Consider the following 19725-nt stretch of genomic DNA (forward strand, 5'->3'; position numbering starts at 1 on the left):
CAGCCTGCTATAGCTGACATATGGAAAGGCAGCCCAGACTGTTTTCCACGAGTCCCTGGCCCTGCTGCTCACTGGGCAGGGTGCCTCCTGGCTTGGGCCCCCAGCACAGCTCCTGCCTGATCAGTTGGTGGTGGCTCTGTGTTTCTCTGGGATGGAGGTCCCAGAAACAACTGACAGGCCTCTGCCATTGCTGCCACCACAGTACCTGCCCTTGCTTCCCCCAGGCTAGGGAGGGAACAAAGGGCCTGATTACTTTGTCAGCATTCTACAGAGAGGAGGCCAGACTGTCTTCCGGGTTGAGTTGCCTGACCTCCCTGCTCTTCAGGCAGGGCCCCCAGCTTGGGCCCAGCAGCACAGCTGCCCCAACCCTAAGCTGAGGAGGGAACAAAAAGCCTGAGCTTGCACTGGGGCTGCAGTGTGGCAGCTTGGAAGTGCCAAGGCGAGATCTGTAGCAGGCACTAGAGCAGGAGAGGAGCCCACACTCTCAGAGTACTGAGAGTGCTGAGTTACATGAACCTGTGGGCTACCACAGCAGTGGGCATGCCTCCCTATGCAGGGCCAGCTGTCTGGAAAAGGGATGGCCTATCTCCCTACCTCAGCCTCTGCCTGAGGGAGTGCACCTGACAAAAGAAACACGGGCACAGTGCCATTGGTTGGAAGGGGCTCCCCCAGGGCCCAGGAGCGGACCTGATGAGGTGGTCACCTCTCTTCCCACCGCACCACAGAGCACAGCCAGAAACACCAGGAAATCCAAAGGAGCAAAGTGGCTAAGATCTGTCTACCGACCATTACTCCTAAGCGCCATCTACTGGAATTCAGTAGATGTAGCAAACTACAAAAATAGTTTGCTAATATACCTTCCTGTAAAACCAAGGTAAGAATTCAACCACAAATGCACAGAGCCTTGGCCCTCAGAAAACATGAAGAAATTCAGCCAACTGACTGTACTCAACTTACACCACAGTTAAAAGAATACCAACCCTCAGATGAGAAAGAATCAGCACAAGAACTCTGGCAATTCAAAGAGCCAGAGTGTCCCCTTACCTCCAAATGAGTCCACTAGCTCCCTAGCAGTGGTTCTTAACCAGTTGGAAATGGCTGAAATGACAGATGTAGAATACAGGATCTGGATGCCAAGGAGGCTCATCAATATTCAGAAGAAAGCTGAAAACTAATCCAAGGATTCCAGTAAAGTGATCCAAGAGCTGAAAGATGAAATAGCCATTTTAAGAAAGAACCAAACTGAACTTCGATAGCTGAAAAATTCACTATAAGAATTTTATAATACAATTGGAAGTATTAACAGCAGAACAGACCAAGCTGAGGAAAGAATCTCAGCGCTCTTCTAAACAACTCAGACAAAAATAAAAAAAGAATTTAAAAAAATGAGCAAAACTTCTGAGAAATAGTGGATTATGTAAAGAGACCAAGTCTATGACTCATTGGCATTCCTGAGAGAAAAGAAGAGAGAATAAACAACTTGGAAAATATATTTGAGGATACAGTTTATGTAACTTTCTCTAATCTTGTTAGAAAGGTTGACATGCAAATCCAGGAAATACAGAGAACCCAAGATAGGTACTATATAAGATGGTCATCTTCAAGGCACATAGTCATCAGATTCACCAAGGTCAATGGAAAAGGAAAAAATCTTAAAAGAAGCAGAAGAGAAGAGCCAGGTTATGTACATGGGGAAGCCCATCAGGCTAGCAGCAGACTTTTCAGCAGAAACCTTACAAGCCAGAAGAGATTGGGGAATCTGCTTTCAGTCTCCTTAAAGAAAATAAATTCCAATTAAGAATTTCATATCCCACCAAAAAGCTTCATAAGTGATGAAGAAATAAAATGCTCAGAGAAACAAACACTGAGGGAATTCATTTCAACTAGACCAGCCTTATAAGAGATCCTTTAGAAAGTGCTAAACGTGGAATTGAAAGAACCTGCTACCACAAAAACACATTTAAGCACATAGCTCATAGGCAACACAGAGCAACCACACAAACAAGTCGATAAAACAACCAGCTAACAACATGATGACAGGATGAAAATCACATGTCAGTACTAACCCTGAATGTAAATGGGCTAAACTCCCCACTTAAAAGGCAAAAAGTGACAGGCTGGATCAAAAGACAAGACTCAATCATCTGCTGTCTTCAAGAAACCCACCTCACTCCTAATGACATCCACAGGCTGAAAGTAAAGGGATGAAGAAAGATCTATCATGCAAATGGAAAACAAAAAAGAGCAGGAGTCACTATTCTTATGTTAGATGAAACATTTTTAACCAATAAAAATTAAGGACAAAGAAGGGCATTATAGAATGTTAAAGGACACAGTCCAATCAGAAGACCTAGCCTAAATATGTACACACCCAATACTGGAGCACCCAAATTCATAAAACAAGTTTTTCTCGGCCTACAAAAAGATTTAGAGAACCACACAATAATAGCAGGAGACTTCAACACCCCACGGACAGCAATAGACAGATCACTGAGGTAGAAAACTAACAAACTCTGTACTTACACTTGACAGTTGACCAATTGGACTTGATAGGCACCTACAGAACACTTTATCCAATAAACACAGAAGATAACATTCTCATGTGCACACAGAACATATTCTAAGATCAACCATGTTTGGCCATAAAGCAAGCCTCATTAAATTCAAAAAGTTTGATATGACACCAACCACACACACTGACCACAGTGCGACAAAAATAGAAATCAGTATCAAGAAGATCTTTCAAAAATACATAAATACATGGAAATTAAATAATTTGCTTCTGAATAACTCCTGGGGTGAACATTTAAATTAAGGCAGAAATAAAAAAATTCAAATTAATGAAAGTAGGGACACAACATATCAGAATCTCTGGGATACAGCTAAAGCAGTGTTAAGAGGAAAGTTTATAGCACTAAATGCCTTCATCAAGAAGTTAGAAATATCTCAAATTAACATCCCTACTTTGCATTTAAGGGAACTAGAAAAAAAAGAATAAATGAACCCCAAAGCTGGCAGAAGAGAAATTAGAGAACCACTAAATGAAGTGCTTTTTGAGGTGCTGTTTTGTTTTTGAGTCTAGATGCAAAAATCTACACAAAAGATCAATGAAACCAATAATTAGTTTTTCAAAAAATAAGATTGATAGGCTGATAGCTAAACAAAGAGCCAAATAAGTACAGTCATAAATAACAAATATGACATTACAATCAATCCCACAGAAATACAAAAGATCCTCAGAGAACAGTATAAACAACTCTATGTACACAGATTAGATCATCTAGAGGAAATGGATAGGCCAGGCATGGTGGCTCACGCCTGCAATCCTAGCACTTTGGGAGCCCTAGGTGGGTGGATCACGAGGCCAGGGGTTCAAGACCCGCCTGGCCAACATAGTGAAACCCCGTCTCTACTAAAAATATGAAAAATTAGCTGGGCGTGGTGGCGGGCGCCTGTAATACCAGCTACTTGGGAGGCTGAGGCAGAATCACTTTTACCCAGGAGGCAAAGGTTGCAGTGAGCTGAGATCACGCCACTGCACTCCAGCCTGGGTGACAGTGTGAGACTCCATCTCGAAAAAAAAAAAAAAAAAGTAAATGGATAAATTCCTGGAAACATAAAATCTCCCAAGATTGAATCAGAAAGAGATTGAAACCTTGAATAGACAAATATTGATTTCTGAAATCAAATCATTAATAAAAAATCTACCAACAAGGAAAAGCCCTGGACCAGATGGAGCCACAGCTGAATTCTACCAGATGTACAAAGAACTGGTACTGGTTCTAGTGAAACTATTCCAAAGAATTGAGGATGAGGGGCGCCTCCCTAACTCATTCTATGAAGCCATCATCAGCCTAATACCAAAATCTGGCAGAGACACACACAAAAAGAAAACTTCAGGCCAATTACTCTGATGAACATAGACACAAAAATTCTATATAAAATACTAGGAAACAGAATCCAGCAGCACATCAATAAGTTAATACACCGCAATCAAGAAGGCTTCAGTCCAAGGATGCAAGGCTGGTTCAACATACGCAAATCAATAAATGTGATTCACCACATAAACAGAACTAAAAGCAAAAACCATATGATCATCTCGATAGATGCAGAAACAGCTTTTGATAAAATCCAATATCCCTTCACATTAAACACCTCAACAGATTAGGTATCAAAGGAACATACCTCAAAATAATAAGAGCCATCTATGACAAACCCACAGCCACCAAACTACTGCATGGGCAAAAGCTGGAACCAATCCCATGAGACATGGAACAAGGCAATCATGCCCTCTCTCCCCAATCCTATTCAGCATAGTACTGGAAGTCCTACCCAGAGCACTCAGGCAGGAGAAAGAAAGAAAGGCATCCAAATAGGAAAAAGAAAGAGTCTAACTATCTCTCTTTGCTGATGATATGATTCTATATCCAGAAAACCCTGAAGACTCTGCCAAAAGGCTACTAGAACTGATAAACAACTTTAGCAGAGTTTCAGGATAAAAAATCAATGTACAAAAACAGCATTTCTGTACACCAATAATGTCCAGGTTGAAAGTCAGATCAAGAACAGAATCCCATTTACAATAGCCGTAAAGAAAATGTAATACCTAGGAGTACAGCTAACAAAGGATGTGAAGGATCTCTACAAGAACCACAAAACACTGCTGAAAGAAATCAGAGATAACACAATTAAATAGAAAAACATTCCATGCTCATGGATTGGAAGAATCAGTATCATTCAAATGGCCATACTACCCAAAGCAGTTTACAGATTCAGTGCTATTTCTATCAAACTACCAATGCCATTCTTCACAGAATTAGCAAAATGTATTCTAAAATTCATATGAAACCAAAAGAGAGCCTGAATAGCCAAAGTAGATCTGAGCAAAAAGGGCAAAGCCAGAGGCTTCAAACTAAAATGCTATAGTAGCCAAAACAGCATGGTACTGGTACAAAAGCAGACACACAGACCAATGGAACAGAATAGAAAACCCAGAATAAAGCCTTACACTTACAACCATATGATCTTTGACAAGGCTGACAAAAACAAGCAATGGGGGAAGGACTCCCTATTCAATAAATGGTGCTGGAGTAACTGGCTAGCTATATGCAGAATAATGATACTGGACCCATACCTTTCATCATATACAAAAATTAACTGGAGATAGATTAAAGATTTAAATTTAAGACCTCAAATGATAAAAATCCTAGAAGAAAACCTCAAAAATACCCTTCTTGACATTGGCCTTGGCAAAGAATTTTTAACTAAGTCCCCAAAAGCAATTGCAATAAAAACAAAGATTGACAAGTGGGACCTAAAAAAACTTAAAGAGTTTCTGCACAGCAAGAGCAATGATTGACAGAGTAAACAGACAACCTACGGAACAGGAGAAAACATTTGCAAACTATGCATCAAAGGTCTAATATCCAGAATCTATAAGGAATTTACAGAAAATCAACACGCAGAAACCAAATAACCCCATTAAAAAATGGGGAAAGTACCTGAACACACACTTCCGAAAAGAAGACATGCAAGTGACCAATGAACATATGAAAAAATGCTTCACATCACTAATGGTCAGAGAAGCGCAAATCAAAACCACAATGAGATACCCTCTCACCTAGTCAGAATGGCTATTAATAAAAAGTCAAAAACGACAGATGCTGGCAAGGCTGCAGAGAAAAGGGAATGTTTATACACTGTTGGTGGGCATGTAAATTAGTTCAGCCACTGTGGAAAGCAGTCTGGAGATTTCTCAAATAACTTAAAACAGAGCTACTATTTGACCCAGTAATCCCATTATTGGGTATATGCCCAATGGAAAAAAGATCATTCTACCAAAAGACACGCACAATGTGCTATTTACAATAGCAAAGATATGGGAGCTGTGCTATTCACAATAGCAAAGATATGGAATCAACCTAGGTGCCCATCAGTGGTGGGCTGGATAGAGAAAATGGTACATACAAACGATGGAATTCTATGCAGCCATAAAAATGTGTGAAATCATGTCTTTTGCAGCAACACAGATGGAGCTGGAGGCCATTATCCTAAGCAAATTAATAAAGGGACAGAAAACCAAATACCACGTGTTCTCACTTATGAGAGCTAAACAACAGGTACTCTTGGACATAAAGATGTGAACAACAGACATTGTGGACTACTAGAGGGGGATGGAGGGAGAGGGGTGCAGGTTGAAAAACTACCTATTGGGTACTATGCTTACTACCAGGGTGCAATATACTGATGTGACAAACTTGCACACATACCCCCATATTTAAAATTGAAGTTAGTTTTAAAACATGAGTATCATTCTGATATAAGTTTCTTGAGTTGTTCAAATAATCATTCATTTTGCATTCTGAGAAAGCAATGCCCAAAGAGGTCTTAAACAAGTTTTCTTTGAATAAGCAAAAGCAGAATAGTGTAACAACTCATAATTTCCAGAAATTTTGGTGGGTCTTGGAGGTTTGGGGAAGAGAAACATTAATGGTAACCTCCTTATTTCAAAAAGTGAAATTCTTAAAATGAAAAAGGGGGTTTCCTTCCTTCCTGTATTGCTAGTATTGAAAAAGACAGATCTTACTCTTCCCTGAGCCAGCTAAGTATTTTCCTCCCTATTCACCTAAACCCAGGACATAATCTGCCCTCTGTAGATTACTGCTGTGTGAATTTTAAACGAAATAGTCCTATGTTGTGCCTATACATGTTTCTGTAATATGGATGGCAGGGTATAATATTAATAATCATAACATGAAGGGAATTTGAAAGCATGTTGTATGATCTTTTTTTCAAAGGGGGAACCAGATTAGCGGTAGTAAAAAACAAAAGCCTTTAGTTGGGCTGCTGCACAGGCAGTTGGAACCTTTTTTGGAATATTTAGAGGAGAAAAAATCACCTGCAGCTAGGCTGCTCACCAGCCTCATGGAGCTCTTCGCTCCTGGCAGGTTGCTGCCTTCCATGCCCACCATGGCTCGGGGCTCTACTCTCATCTGTGCCACTCTGGTACCCGCAGCTCTTACATAAAGTATTCTATTTCCACTCAAAAATAAAAAAGCTCCTATGGCAACCTCCAGACATTGAGCTGCTGATGTGGGTGGTCCGAGTGGTTAGTGTGTTGGTTACAAAGTTGTTATGCTGGAGTGGTTTGTCTTGAACTCTCAAACCCTATATTTTCATGAACCGCTTCTTTTTTTAGTGTTTTCTGTAGAGTGCAAGGTTTTTCAGGAATAGTATATCGTGTTTTAGCAGTTACCCTTGTCTTATTAGTTGCTACCTTTCATTTCCTGATGAATTCATCTTGGTTTAGATTGTTGAGAGCCTTGCCAATAAAAGGAAAATCATTCGAATAAGAATAATTTCTATGAAGCCAAAATATAACATTTTTCAAGGACAATCATGGCCTGAAGATACAGTGGCAATGAAGGTACTTTGAATAAAGTAACACCCACGGGCTGGGCATGGTGGTTCATGCCTGTAACCCCAACACTTTGGGAGGCTGAGGCAGGCAGATTGCTTGAGTTCAGGAATTCGAGACCAACCTGGGCAACATGTCAAAACTTCATCTCTAAAAATACAAAAAAATTATCCAGGTGTGGTGGCGTGCGCCTATAGTCCCAGCTACTCGGGAGGCTGGAGGTGGGAGAATCACCTCAGCCTGGGAGGTCGAGGCTGCAGTGAACCAACATCACACCACTGCACTCCAGTCTCGACAACCAGAGTGAGACCCTGTCTCAAAAAAAAAAAAAATAAAATAAAAAATTTGTTTTAAAAAACTAGCACCCAGCACCAAAGAGGAAATAATAATGATTTCCCATAGACATAAGGCTAACCAGTGTTTATAATGAAAAGATTACCTCCCTTCAGAGTTCCCCCAGGCTTAGGTGAAGTTGGTTGTGAGCAGGAGTAGCGGATTTCAAAATAATACACCTAGATTACTCTAAGAATAAATATTTCTTTTGATTCACTTACAATTTTATGCAAAAGCAGAAGTTACTGAAGATTATTTATCCTCCATATTTACCACGGTCTTCTTACCCCAACACCCATGTCTGTGTGTAATTAAAGGAAGCTTGTTAAGTAAGCTACCCATTTAGTGCTTGGAATGAGAGAAGAGTGTGCGTTGGGAATTGGGGGACTGCTCGTGTGAAACATTTCTCTCTTCTGGGTTTAAAACTTAGTCTTTGCTGCCAATCTGTTAACAGTTTGTAAATGAAGTAGAAGAAAAAAATATAAATTAGCTTTCTAATAAATCTGAAATTACATATGTGAAACAAAGCAGGGAATAAATACTTGACCAAAAGTATGTAAGTAAGTGGGTGTTGGGGAATCACAATTTTTAAATACCTCAATTATTTTGATATGAAAGTTCTATTTCAAAGTTCTTCAAAATGATGCCTAATGTTCCTGCATACTGTGTTCCAAATTTATATAAATACAAGATGGAAACTATGAAGCATATGCCTTCAAAAAAGAAAAAAAAATCCTGACATTTTATCTATATCTACTTAATAGATTTATCAAGAACATATGTAAACATATGTAAACATGTTTTATATATATGTAAACATATATAAATATAGATATATCATCAAGGAAGATTTAGAACATATAACTATGTGGCAGGGGTTGGAAACAACATAATTCTTTCCCGGAAGGGGAAGGGGGAACTATACTTAATCAGATACCAGCCACAACGTAACTGTAAGTCATTTCTAATAAAAAAAAAATCTCTACTGCAAATTCTGGTGCGTAAATTTTCCATGTCTTTTGTTTATGTGGATTATCCAATTCATTTCTTTGTGGTTTAAGCCTAAGAATAGAAAAAAAAATTATTGCATTTTTATATTGGGGCTAACTGAAAAGCCATGCAGTTGGGTACCCTTGTTAGAGCTTGAAGAAACAAAAAAAGAACCTTACCATGAATAGAACCTCAGCCCCTTTTTTTGTGTCTCAGTTGGCTCCAGCAACACATCACTAACTCATACTGATTCTTTTTTTTTTTTTTTTGAGACCGAGTCTTGCTCTCTTGCCAGGCTGGAGTGCAGTGATCTTGGCTCACTGCAATCTCCGACTCCCTGGTTCAAGCGATTCTCCTGCCTCAGCCTCCTGAGTAGCTGGGATTACAGGCACTCGCCACCACGCCCGGCTAATTTTTGTATTTTTAGCAGAGACGGGATTTCACCATGTTGGCCAGGATGGTTTCCATCTCCTGACCTCATGATCTGCTTGCCTCAGTCTCCCAAAGTGCTGGGATTACAGGCATGAGCCACCATGCCCAGCCACTGATTTTTTTTTTTTTTTTTTTTTTTGAGATGGAGCCTTGCTCTGTCGCCCAGGCTGGAGTGCAGTGGCACGATCTCGGCTCACTGAAAGCTCCACCTCCCAGGTTCACGCCATTCTCCTGCCTCAGCCTCCCGAGTAGCTGGGACTACAGGCGCCCGCCACCACGCCCGGCTAATTTTTGTATTTGTATTTTTAGTAGAAACTGGGTTTTACCGTGTTAGCCAGGATGGTCTCGATCTCCTGACCTCGTGATCCGCCCGCCTCGGCCTCCCAAAGTGCTGGGATTACAGGTGTGAGCCACTGCGTTCAGCCGCCCAGCCGCTGATTCTTTTAACACTGCTTTTTATGGAATTAATGACATTCAGGTTTAATAAAATATCTAAATTTCAGAAATCAGTCAGGCTAGGTATGAATGAAACCCCAGTAATAAAATACTATATCCCTTTAAATTTATGCGTGAGGTTGCAATTTTTTGAATTTTTACGATCAGACCTTGGAGAGGACCTTGAGCAGTAGCATATAACTCCCACATGCTTAGCGTTCCAATAATGGAACACTAGGCATAAATTTGTTAACCCATTTATGCCTAATGTTCTAAATGATAGAAGTTGGCATTTTTGGCTAAACAACAATCTCATAACAAAAACAGCTATACCAAGTAGTATATAAATTTAAATGTTACAGAATTCTTTAGAAATTTATATACAACTGAGAATAAAAGTGATCTAACTTATTGCTTCTTCAAAATGAATATGGTATTTTAAAGGAAAAAACTGTATCCTTTAGCAAGAACCACTTTTGAGGAACAGCATCAAATGAAGCTCCACCCAGCTCTCACTATTTGAGGGACTTTGCTCATGTTAGAAGAAAAAGCTTATTGTTTTTATGCATCCAAGAAAAAAAATTGTAAAAATTTCCATCAAATCCAAAGTTCACTCTATCAAAATCCATTAAATGTATATGCATTACAAGTGTGTAGACCACAGGTTTAATTTACCGTTGCCTTGCTTGACTTAAGGAGTTATTAGATTGAGTCCACATCTGAAGAAAAGATTAGGACTGGATGTAACAATAACTATCAATTCATGCTACATGTAATCATAGCCACTTCTCCAACTCTCACCTAAATCATTTAAAAAATATTTTCTCCTTTTGTATTGAAGAGTATGGTTGATTAGAAAAAGTCTCAATTTTTCACCACCACAGAACAAATGCTACTTATAGTGGAGAACTTCTAGATTGAAAAATGAGTTTCCAAATATGGCAGAAGGTTTTTTTGGAACAATAATCTTCAAATCCAATTAATAATTTTTCAGAAAGTTTTCCCCATTCAGTTATTAGAAAGCCACATTTAAATGGGAGGCTATTACTTAATGATATTTTTTAGCTGTACTCCTTCATACTTAACTGTGTCTTATAACTTCTCGTAGATATAAGTGTGTCAGTCAGCTTTTCAGCTAGCTGAAGCCTCCCTAGGTCCTGCCTTATTTTAGCACAAACTTTGGTGGTGGTTTGTCATTGGTAAATCAGTGCCTACTGAGGACCTGACATATTGAAGGTACTGAGCAGACTCATACTGAACTTCTCTGGGAAGAATTTACTACCACACTTAAGATCTGGTTATAATATTTTTGAACTCATAACACAGTCCTATGGCATGGACCTTGAGGATACTGCAACAGTGGGTCTCAAGAACAACTGTATTTTTAAAATAACCAAATTAAGAGGAGTATGGCAATGGTCAATGGTGGCTCGAGGATTTTTTGCTTTCTATAAAGTTCATGACAACCAGGAAAAGACTTGCCATTATATCTTATACACAGACACTGAAGATTAGGCTGTTTCTATAGGTTTATATTATATCTATATCTGTTATTTTGTATAAAAGGTGTGTTAAACCAGAAGAAAAAAGGACAATTGTCATAGTATTTAGGAAGATCCTAAAAAGAAAAAAAAAATTTCAAAATAAAACTGATACCAAGAACTAATCATTCCAAAGAAATTAAAGTTCATTCCTTTATTCCTTTATATATTTATCAAACAATTATAACCATTAAATACATAGCACTCTGCAGTCTGTAACAATAAACTCAAGACACAAAGGAGGAGGCTTAAGAAAATACTATTGCATTCTCTTGCTGTTTCTATCAAAATTTTCAAGGAATAGTATTTTTTCCATGCTAGATATTTAATTTAAATGCTGATATTTGAATCTGGTTTAGATAGTGCTAAACAGAATCTACTAAGGACCTATGCCTATATATACCCAAGTATATTATAGTGAATTCTTACAATTTTTTTGTTGCCTCAGCATCCCTTTTAAATATAAATTGGACTTTCTGATATCAAAAGTGGGGTTCAGTCACCCTCAGCAGTTTCCAGTTCACCTCCTCCCAGTTTCTCAATGTGACTGATCCTGGTATCTACCTTATTCAGCCTTCTCCTGGGGACCACTTCATTATGGGACAGCTAGATATAACCTACTTGACTCACCCCACAGACCCCCATACTCCGCATGAACCATGTGAATATATCAGTGACCACCTCTCAGTCACAGCAGACACTCACGGCTGCTTGCATTAAACCAAAGTGGACCTCCCTGTAGGAAACCTGCTCAGATAGCACCTTACATCCCAATAAAGGCTTCCACTCCCAGGTCCCTCCCTCTCTCTCGCTATTGCTCCCCAACCATCAGTCAAGCACAGGTCTTCTTGATGGCTCTCCCTTCCAGTTAGCCCTGCAAAGTGTGCTGCCCTCTTCTCTCTGGAATTAATAAAAAAACTGCTTCGGTTATTTCATGTGTTGTACTGTGCTGCCTTCTCTGTGTTTCACCCAACTGAGTCACCCAAACCTAACTCTTCCCAGTCAGTGCTTCCAGCTACTTGGGAGGCTGAAGTGGGAGGATTGCTTGAGCCCAGGAGGTTGAAGCTGCAGTTAGCTATGATCACGCCACTGCACTCCAGCCTGGATGATACAGTGAGACCCTGTCTCAATTTTTTTTTTTTTTGACTGGGTCTCGCTCTTGTCGCCCAGGCTGGAGTGCAGTGGTGCAATCTCGGCTCACTGCAACCTCTGCCTCTCGGGTGCAAGTGATTCTCCTGCCTCTGCCTCCCGAGTAGCTGGGATTACAGGTGCTTGCCACCACGCCCAGCTAATTTTGTACCTTTAGTAGAGACGGGGTTTCTCCATGTTGGTCAGCCTGGTCTTGAACCCCCAACCTCATGTGATCCACCCGCCTCAGCCTCCCAAAGTGCTGGGATTATAGGCATGATTAATTTTTTAATTTAAAAAAAAGATGCAAAACAAAATGTAATCATTGCTATGCAGTAAAACATAACTTTGGTTTTTTTAGCATCTTGGCTTTTATTTTTTGTGTTTATTTTGTATTTTTTGTATTTGATAACTAATATATGTAAATTTAGAAAAAATTAGAAAATTTACAATTTAGAAAAAACAAATGAACAAAAATTATTCAAATTACATATGTTATTTTAAAAAAATCTGTTATAAATCTGATTTATTGTTTTTCTCACCCTCCCTCTGTGGGATGACATCTGTCATCTCCCTTGTTGGGAAGTGTAGTAAAGCAAATCTTAAATAAAATCATTCAAAAGACCAGACAAGAACAATGGCAGAGGCTGTTTCTTGATTACTCACCAAAGAGAAAAATTGCACTTTCACATCATCATACAGAGGTGGACTGTTGAATACATCAATTATTGCTCTGTTTCAGTGTCATGAAATACCTGTGAATGAACACATGGAATTTAGAACTATAAACCTAACTAATGATAACAATGAAGTTCCTTTTCACTTATCATGACTTCCAATATTTATCAAGTACTTTTGGTCTCACAGCCCAATCACTACATGTATAAATAATTATTAATAACCTTTTCTATTTGCAATACTGTTGTATGTATGTATGTGTGTGTGTGTGTGTGTGTGTGTGTGTGTGTGTGTGTGTGTTTTTGAGACAGTCTCACTGTCACCCAGGCTGAAGTACAGGGGCATGATCTCAGCTCCCTGCAACCTCTGCCTCCCAGGTTGGAGTGATTCCTGTGCCTCAGCCTCCTGAGTAGCTGGGACTATAGGCACATGCCACCACACCCGGCTACTTTTTGTATTTTTAGTAGACATGGGGTTTCACTATACTGGCCAGGCTGGTCTCAAACTCCTGGCCTCAAGTGATTTGCCCACCTGGGCCTCCCAAAGTGTTGAAATTACAGGTGTGAGCCACAGCACCGGTCCTGTTGTTCACGTTTTTTAAAGGCCAACATGTTTGAGGGTTATCATGAGGCACTGTTCTTTTCTTTCTTTCTTTTTTTTTTTTTTTTGAGATGGAGTCTCACTCTGTCACCATGCTGAAGTGCAGTGGTGGGATCTCGGCTCACTGCAACCTCCGCCTCCTGGGTTCAAGCCATTCTCCTGCCTCCGCCTCCCGAGTAGCTGGGACTACAGGCGTGCACCACCACACCCAACTACTTTTTGTATTTTTAGTAGAGACCAGGTTTCACCATGTTGGCCAGCATGGTCTCGATCTCTTGACCTTGTGATCTGACCGTCTTGTCCTCCCAAAATGCTGGGATTAGAGGCATAAGCCACCATGCTCGGCCATGAGGCACTTTAAAAAAATGCCTCACTTTTAAAAAGTATTGAATTTTCTATTAATCAATTAAATATTATTATTTAATGTGTGTCATTTGATTTTCATGCGTTAGGGCCTCTTTTGAGAATACATTAAGAAGCTCAATTTTAAAGCTAGCATTGACATTCAAAAAGCAATGTGTAACTCACCAAGGTTTTTTATTTTCTAAATTTAAAAAATAACAACAGGGGCCTGTAACACTTGGGCGGTGGGCCCACCTGCTCCTCCCGAGGGAGGGGGAGAGTGGGGTTCCCCTGCTCATCATGTTTTATCAGAACTCTCGTGTTTGTCAATGGGATCTTTGGACTTGACCATTGCAGCCTGCTGGATGAAGTGACCAAAGATAGGTCAAGTTTTGGAATGAATGACTTTGAAGCTATACAATTTCTTTGACTCACTCTCCTATAAATAATGGCACCCACAATAAGAAAGGTCTAGGTCCTGTGAAAAACACAAAAGGAGGTACAGACTCAGTCGGTCCCTTCAGGGAGCTGTACACATCAGAAACAAAAGTAGAATGGTATATAACTCAATCTGTATAATGAAGACTGGGTGTGCTGTTATGCACTGTTGGGGGCTAGTTAACAGGAGGTGCAGAATGCAAAAATTTCATTGAGGAGGTAAAAATTGAATTGGACATGAAACAGTTTAGATAAAGGAAGAAGGGCTCTGAAAATAGAATCTACTTCATACAGAGGGAAAAAGACCAGCAATAATGCAAAGTAGAAATTAGAAAAATAGGCCGGGCATGGTGGCTCATGCCTGTAATCCCAACAGTTTGGGAGGCCAAGACGGGCAGATCACCTGTGGCTGGCAGTTCGAGATCAGCCTGACCAACATGGAGAAACCCCATCTCTACTAAAAATACAAAAATTAGCCGGGGTGGTGGTGCATGCCTGTAATCCCAGCTACTTGGGAGGCTGAGGCAGGAGAATCACTTGAACCCGGGAGGCAAAGGTTGCAGTGAGCCGAGGTCGCACCATTGTACTCCAGCCTGGGCAACAAGAGTGAAACTTCATCTCAAAAAAAAAAAAAAGAAAGAAGAAAAGAAATTAGAAAAACAGCAACAAAGAAGGTCAGGCAGTGTGGCTCATGCCTATAATCTTGGCAGGTTGCGAAGCTGAGGTGTAAAGGTTGCTTGAGCCCAGGAGTTTGAGACCAGCCTGGGCAACATAGCAAGATCCAGTCTCTACAAAAAATTAAAAAAATTGGGGGATTGCTTGAGCTCAGGAGGTCAAGGCTGCAGTAAGCCATGATCACACAACTGTGCTACAGCCTGCGTGACAGAATGAGACCCTGACTCAAGAAAAGAAAAAGGAGGGTGGGAGGAGCCAAGATGGCGGAATAGGAACAGCTCCGGTCTACAGCTCCCAGCCTGAGCGACGCAGAAGACGGGTGATTTCTGCATTTCCATCTGAGGTACCGGGTTCATATCACTAGGGAGTGCCAGACAGTGGGCACAGGTCAGTGGGTGCACGCATCATGCGCGAGCCGAAGCAGGGCGAGGCATTGCCTTGCTCGGGAAGCGCAAGGGGTCAGGGAGTTACCTTTCCTAATCAAAGAAAGGGGTGACAGACGGCACCTGGAGAATCGGGTCACTCCCACCCGAATACTGTGCTTTTCTGACGGGCTTAAAAAACGGCGCACCAGGAGATTATATCCCACACCTGGCTCGGAGGGTCCTACCCCACGGAGTCTCGCTGATTGCTAGCACAGCAGTCTGAGATCAAACTGCAAGGCGGCAGTGAGGCTGGGGGAGGGGCGCCCACCATTGCCCAGGCTTGCTTGGGTAAACAAAGCAGCCGGGAAGCTCGAACTGGGTGGAGCCCACCACAGCTCAAGGAGGCCTGCCTGCCTCTGTAGGCTCCACCTCTGGGGGCAGGGCACAGACAAACAAAAAGACAGCAGTAACCTCTGCAGACTTAAATGTCCCTGTCTGAGAGCTGTGAAGAGAGCAGTGGTTCTCCCAGTATGCAGCTGGAGATCTGAGAACGGGCAGACTCCCTCCTCAAGTGGGTCCCTGACCCCTGACCCCCAGGCAGCCTAACTGGGAGGCACCCTCCAACAGGGGCACACTGACACCTCACACTGCAGGGTACTCCAGCAGACCTGCAGCTGAGGGTCCTGTCTGTTAGAAGGAAAACTAACAAACAGAAAGGACATCCACACCAAAAACCCATCTGTACATCACCATCATCAAAGACCAAAAGGAGATAAAACCACAAAGATGGGGAAAAAACAGAACAGAAAAACTGGAAACTCTAAAAAGCAGAGCGCCTCTCCTCCTCCAAAGGAACGCAGTTCCTCACCAGCAACGGAACAAAGCTGGATGGAGAATGACTTTGACGAGCTGAGAGAAGAAGGCTTCAGACGATCAAATTACTCTGAGCTACGGGAGGACATTCAAACCAAAGGCAAAGAAGTTGAAAACTTTGAAAAAAATTTAGAAGAATGTATAACTAAAATAACCAATACAGAGAAGTGCTTAAAGGAGCTGATGGAGCTGAAAACCAAGGCTCGAGAACTACGTGAAGAATGCAGAAGCCTCAGGAGCCGATGCGATCAACTGGAAGAAAGGGTATCAGCGATGGAAGATGAAATGAATGAAATGAAGTGGGAAGGAAAGTTTAGGGAAAAAAGAATAAAAAGAAACAAGCAAAGCTCCAAGAAATATGGGACTATGTGAAAAGACCAAATCTACGTCTGATTGGTGTACCTGAAAGTGATGGGGAGAATGGAACCAAGTTGGAAAACACTCTGCAGAATATTATCCAGGAGAATTTCCCCAATCTAGCAAGGCAGGCCAACGTTCAGATTCAGGAAATACAGAGAACGCCACAAAGATACTCCTCGAGAAGAGCAACTCCAAGACACATAATTGTCAGATTCACCAAAGTTGAAATGAAGGAAAAAATGTTAAGGGCAGCCAGAGAGAAAGGTCGGGTTACCCTCAAAGGGAAGCCCATCAGACTAACAGCAGATCTCTCGGCAGAAACCCTACAAGCCAGAAGAGAGTGGGGGCCAATATTGAACATTCTTAAAGAAAAGAATTTTCAACCCAGAATTTCATATGTAGCCAAACTAAGCTTCATAAGTGAAGGAGAAATAAAATACTTTACAGACAAGCAAATGCTGAGAGATTTTGTCACCACCAGGCCTGCCCTAAAAGAGCTCCTGAAGGAAGCGCTAAACATGGAAAGGAACAACCGGTACCAGCCGCTGCAAAATCATGCCAAAATGTAACGACCATCGAGACTAGGAAGAAACTGCATCAACTAACTAGCAAAATAACCAGCTAACATCATAATGACAGGATCAAATTCACACATAACACTATTAACTTTAAATGTAAATGGACTAAATGCTCCAATTAAAAGACACAGACGGGCAAATTGGATAAAGAGTCAAGACCCATCAGTGTGCTGTATTCAGGAAACCCATCTCACGTGCAGAGACACACATAGGCTCAAAATAAAAGGATGGAGGAAGATCTACCAAGCAAATGGAAAACAAAAAAAGGCAGGGGTTGCAATCCTAGTCTCTGATAAAACAGACTTTAAACCAACAAAGATCAAAAGAGACAAAGAAGGTCATTACATAATGGTAAAGGGATCAATTCAACAAGAAGAGCTCACTATCCTAAATATATATGCACCCAATACAGGAGCACCCAGATTCATAAAGCAAGTCCTGAGTGACCTACAAAGAGACTTAGACTCCCACACATTAATAATGGGAGACTTTAACACCCCACTGTCAATATTAGACAGATCAACGAGACAGAAAGTCAACAAGGATACCCAGGAATTGAACTCAGCTCTGCACCAAGCGGACCTAATAGACATCTACAGAACTCTCCACCCCAAATCAACAGAATATACATTTTTTTCAGCACCACACCACACCTATTCCAAAATTGACCACATACTTGGAAGTAAAGCTCTCCTCAGCAAATGTAAAAGAACAGACATTATAACAAACTATCTCTCAGACCACAGTGCAATCAAATTAGAACTCAGGATTAAGAATCTCACTCAAAACCGCTCAACTACATGGAAGCTGAACAACCTGCTCCTGAATGACTACTGGGTACATAACGAAATGAAGGCAGAAATAAAGATGTTCTTTGAAACCAACGAGAACAAAGACACAACATACCAGAATCTCTGGGACGCATTCAAAGCAGTGTGTAGAGGGAAATTTATAGCACTAAATGCCCACAAGAGAAAGCAGGAAAGATCCAAAATTGACACCCTAACATCACAATTAAAAGAACTAGAAAAGCAAGAGCAAACACATTCAAAAGCTAGCAGAAGGCAAGAAATAACTAAAATCAGAGCACAACTGAAGGAAATAGAGACACAAAAAACCCTTCAAAAAATTAATGAATCCAGGAGCTGGTTTTTTGAAAGGATCAACAAAATTGATAGACCGCTAGCAACACCAATAAAGAAAAAAAGAAGAATCAAATAGACGCAATAAAAAATGATAAAGGGGATATCACCACCAATCCCACAGAAATACAAACTACCATCAGAAAATACTAAAAACACCTCTACGCAAATAAACTAGAAAATCTAGAAGAAATGGATACATTCCTCGACACATACACTCTCCCAAGACTAAACCAGGAAGAAGTTGAATCTCTGAATAGACCAATAACAGGATCTGAAATTGTGGCAATAATCAATAGCTTACCAACCAAAAAGAGTCCAGGACCAGATGGATTCACAGCCGAATTCTACCAGAGGTACAAGGAGGAACTGGTACCATTCCTTCTGAAACTATTCCAATCAATAGAAAAAGAGGGAATCCTCCCTAACTCATTTTATGAGGCCAGCATCATTCTGATACCAAAGCCAGGCAGAGACACAACCAAAAAAGAGAATTTTAGACCAATATCCTTGATGAACATTGATGCAAAAATCCTCAATAAAATACTGGCAAACCGAATCCAGCAGCACATCAAAAAGCTTATCCACCATGATCAAGTGGGCTTCATCCCTGGGATGCAAGGCTGGTTCAATACACACAAATCAATAAATGTAATCCAGCATATAAACAGAGCCAAAGACAAAAACCACATGATTATCTTAATAGATGCAGAAAAGGCCTTTGACAAAATTCAACAACCCTTCATGCTAAAAACTCTCAATAAATTAGGTATTGATGGGACATATTTCAAAATAATAAGAGCTATCTATGACAAACCCACAGCCAATATCATACTGAATGGGCAAAAACTGGAAGCATTCCCTTTGAAAACTGGCACAAGACAGGGATGCCCTCTCTCACCACTCCTATTCAACGTAGTGTTGGAAGTTCTGGCCAGGGCAATTAGGCAGGAGAAAGAAATAAAGGGTATTCAATTAGGAAAAGAGGAAGTCAAATTGTCCCTGTTTGCAAATGACATGATTGTATGTCTAGAAAACCCCATTGTCTCAGCCCAAAATCTCCTTAAGCTGATAAGCAACTTCAGCAAACTCTCAGGATACAAAATCAATGTGCAAAAATCACAAGCATTCCTATACACCAACAACAGACAAACAGAGAGCCAAATCATGAGTGAACTCCCATTCACAATTGCTTCAAAGAGAATAAAATACCTAGGAATCCAACTTACAAGGGATGTGAAGGACCTCTTCAAGGAGAACTACAAACTGCTGCTCAAGGAAATAAAAGAGGATACAAACAAATGGAAGACCATTCCATGCTCATGGGTAGGAAGAATCAATATCGTGAAAATGGCCATACTGCCCAAGGTAATTTACAGATTCAATGCCATCCCCATC

General features: G+C 40.8%; 1 pseudogene across 2 annotated transcripts in view, besides 2 other annotated features; it reads right to left on the reverse strand.

Annotated features, from left to right (window-relative positions):
• Window positions 1-19725, reverse strand: part of TPTE2P5 (TPTE2 pseudogene 5) — a 124766-nt pseudogene that overhangs the window by 16579 nt on the left and 88462 nt on the right. For both annotated transcript variants that reach the window (NR_038259.1, NR_038258.1), the window contains one exon: window positions 12943-13031. The product of NR_038259.1 is annotated as a TPTE2 pseudogene 5, transcript variant 2 (transcript). The remainder of the gene's footprint in view (window positions 1-12942; window positions 13032-19725) is intronic.
• Window positions 14698-14844: a silencer, noted in NCBI's record as "fragment chr13:41402397-41402543 (GRCh37/hg19 assembly coordinates)". NCBI's record gives its function as "represses an EF-1alpha promoter that drives an FKBP-Casp9 reporter gene in an ReSE screen in phorbol 12-myristate 13-acetate-treated (for megakaryocytic differentiation) K562 erythroleukemia cells {active_cell/tissue: K562(+PMA)}" and the evidence as "EXISTENCE:reporter gene assay evidence [ECO:0000049][PMID:32094911]".
• Window positions 15128-15629: an enhancer, noted in NCBI's record as "NANOG-H3K4me1 hESC enhancer chr13:41402827-41403328 (GRCh37/hg19 assembly coordinates)". NCBI's record gives its function as "activates a minimal SCP1, AML or CMV promoter by ChIP-STARR-seq in naive H9 embryonic stem cells {active_cell/tissue: H9 hESC(naive)}" and the evidence as "EXISTENCE:reporter gene assay evidence [ECO:0000049][PMID:30033119]".

This window comes from Homo sapiens, chromosome 13, assembly GCF_000001405.40.
Source record: "Homo sapiens chromosome 13, GRCh38.p14 Primary Assembly".
In the NCBI taxonomy this organism is placed as follows: domain Eukaryota; kingdom Metazoa; phylum Chordata; class Mammalia; order Primates; family Hominidae; genus Homo; species Homo sapiens.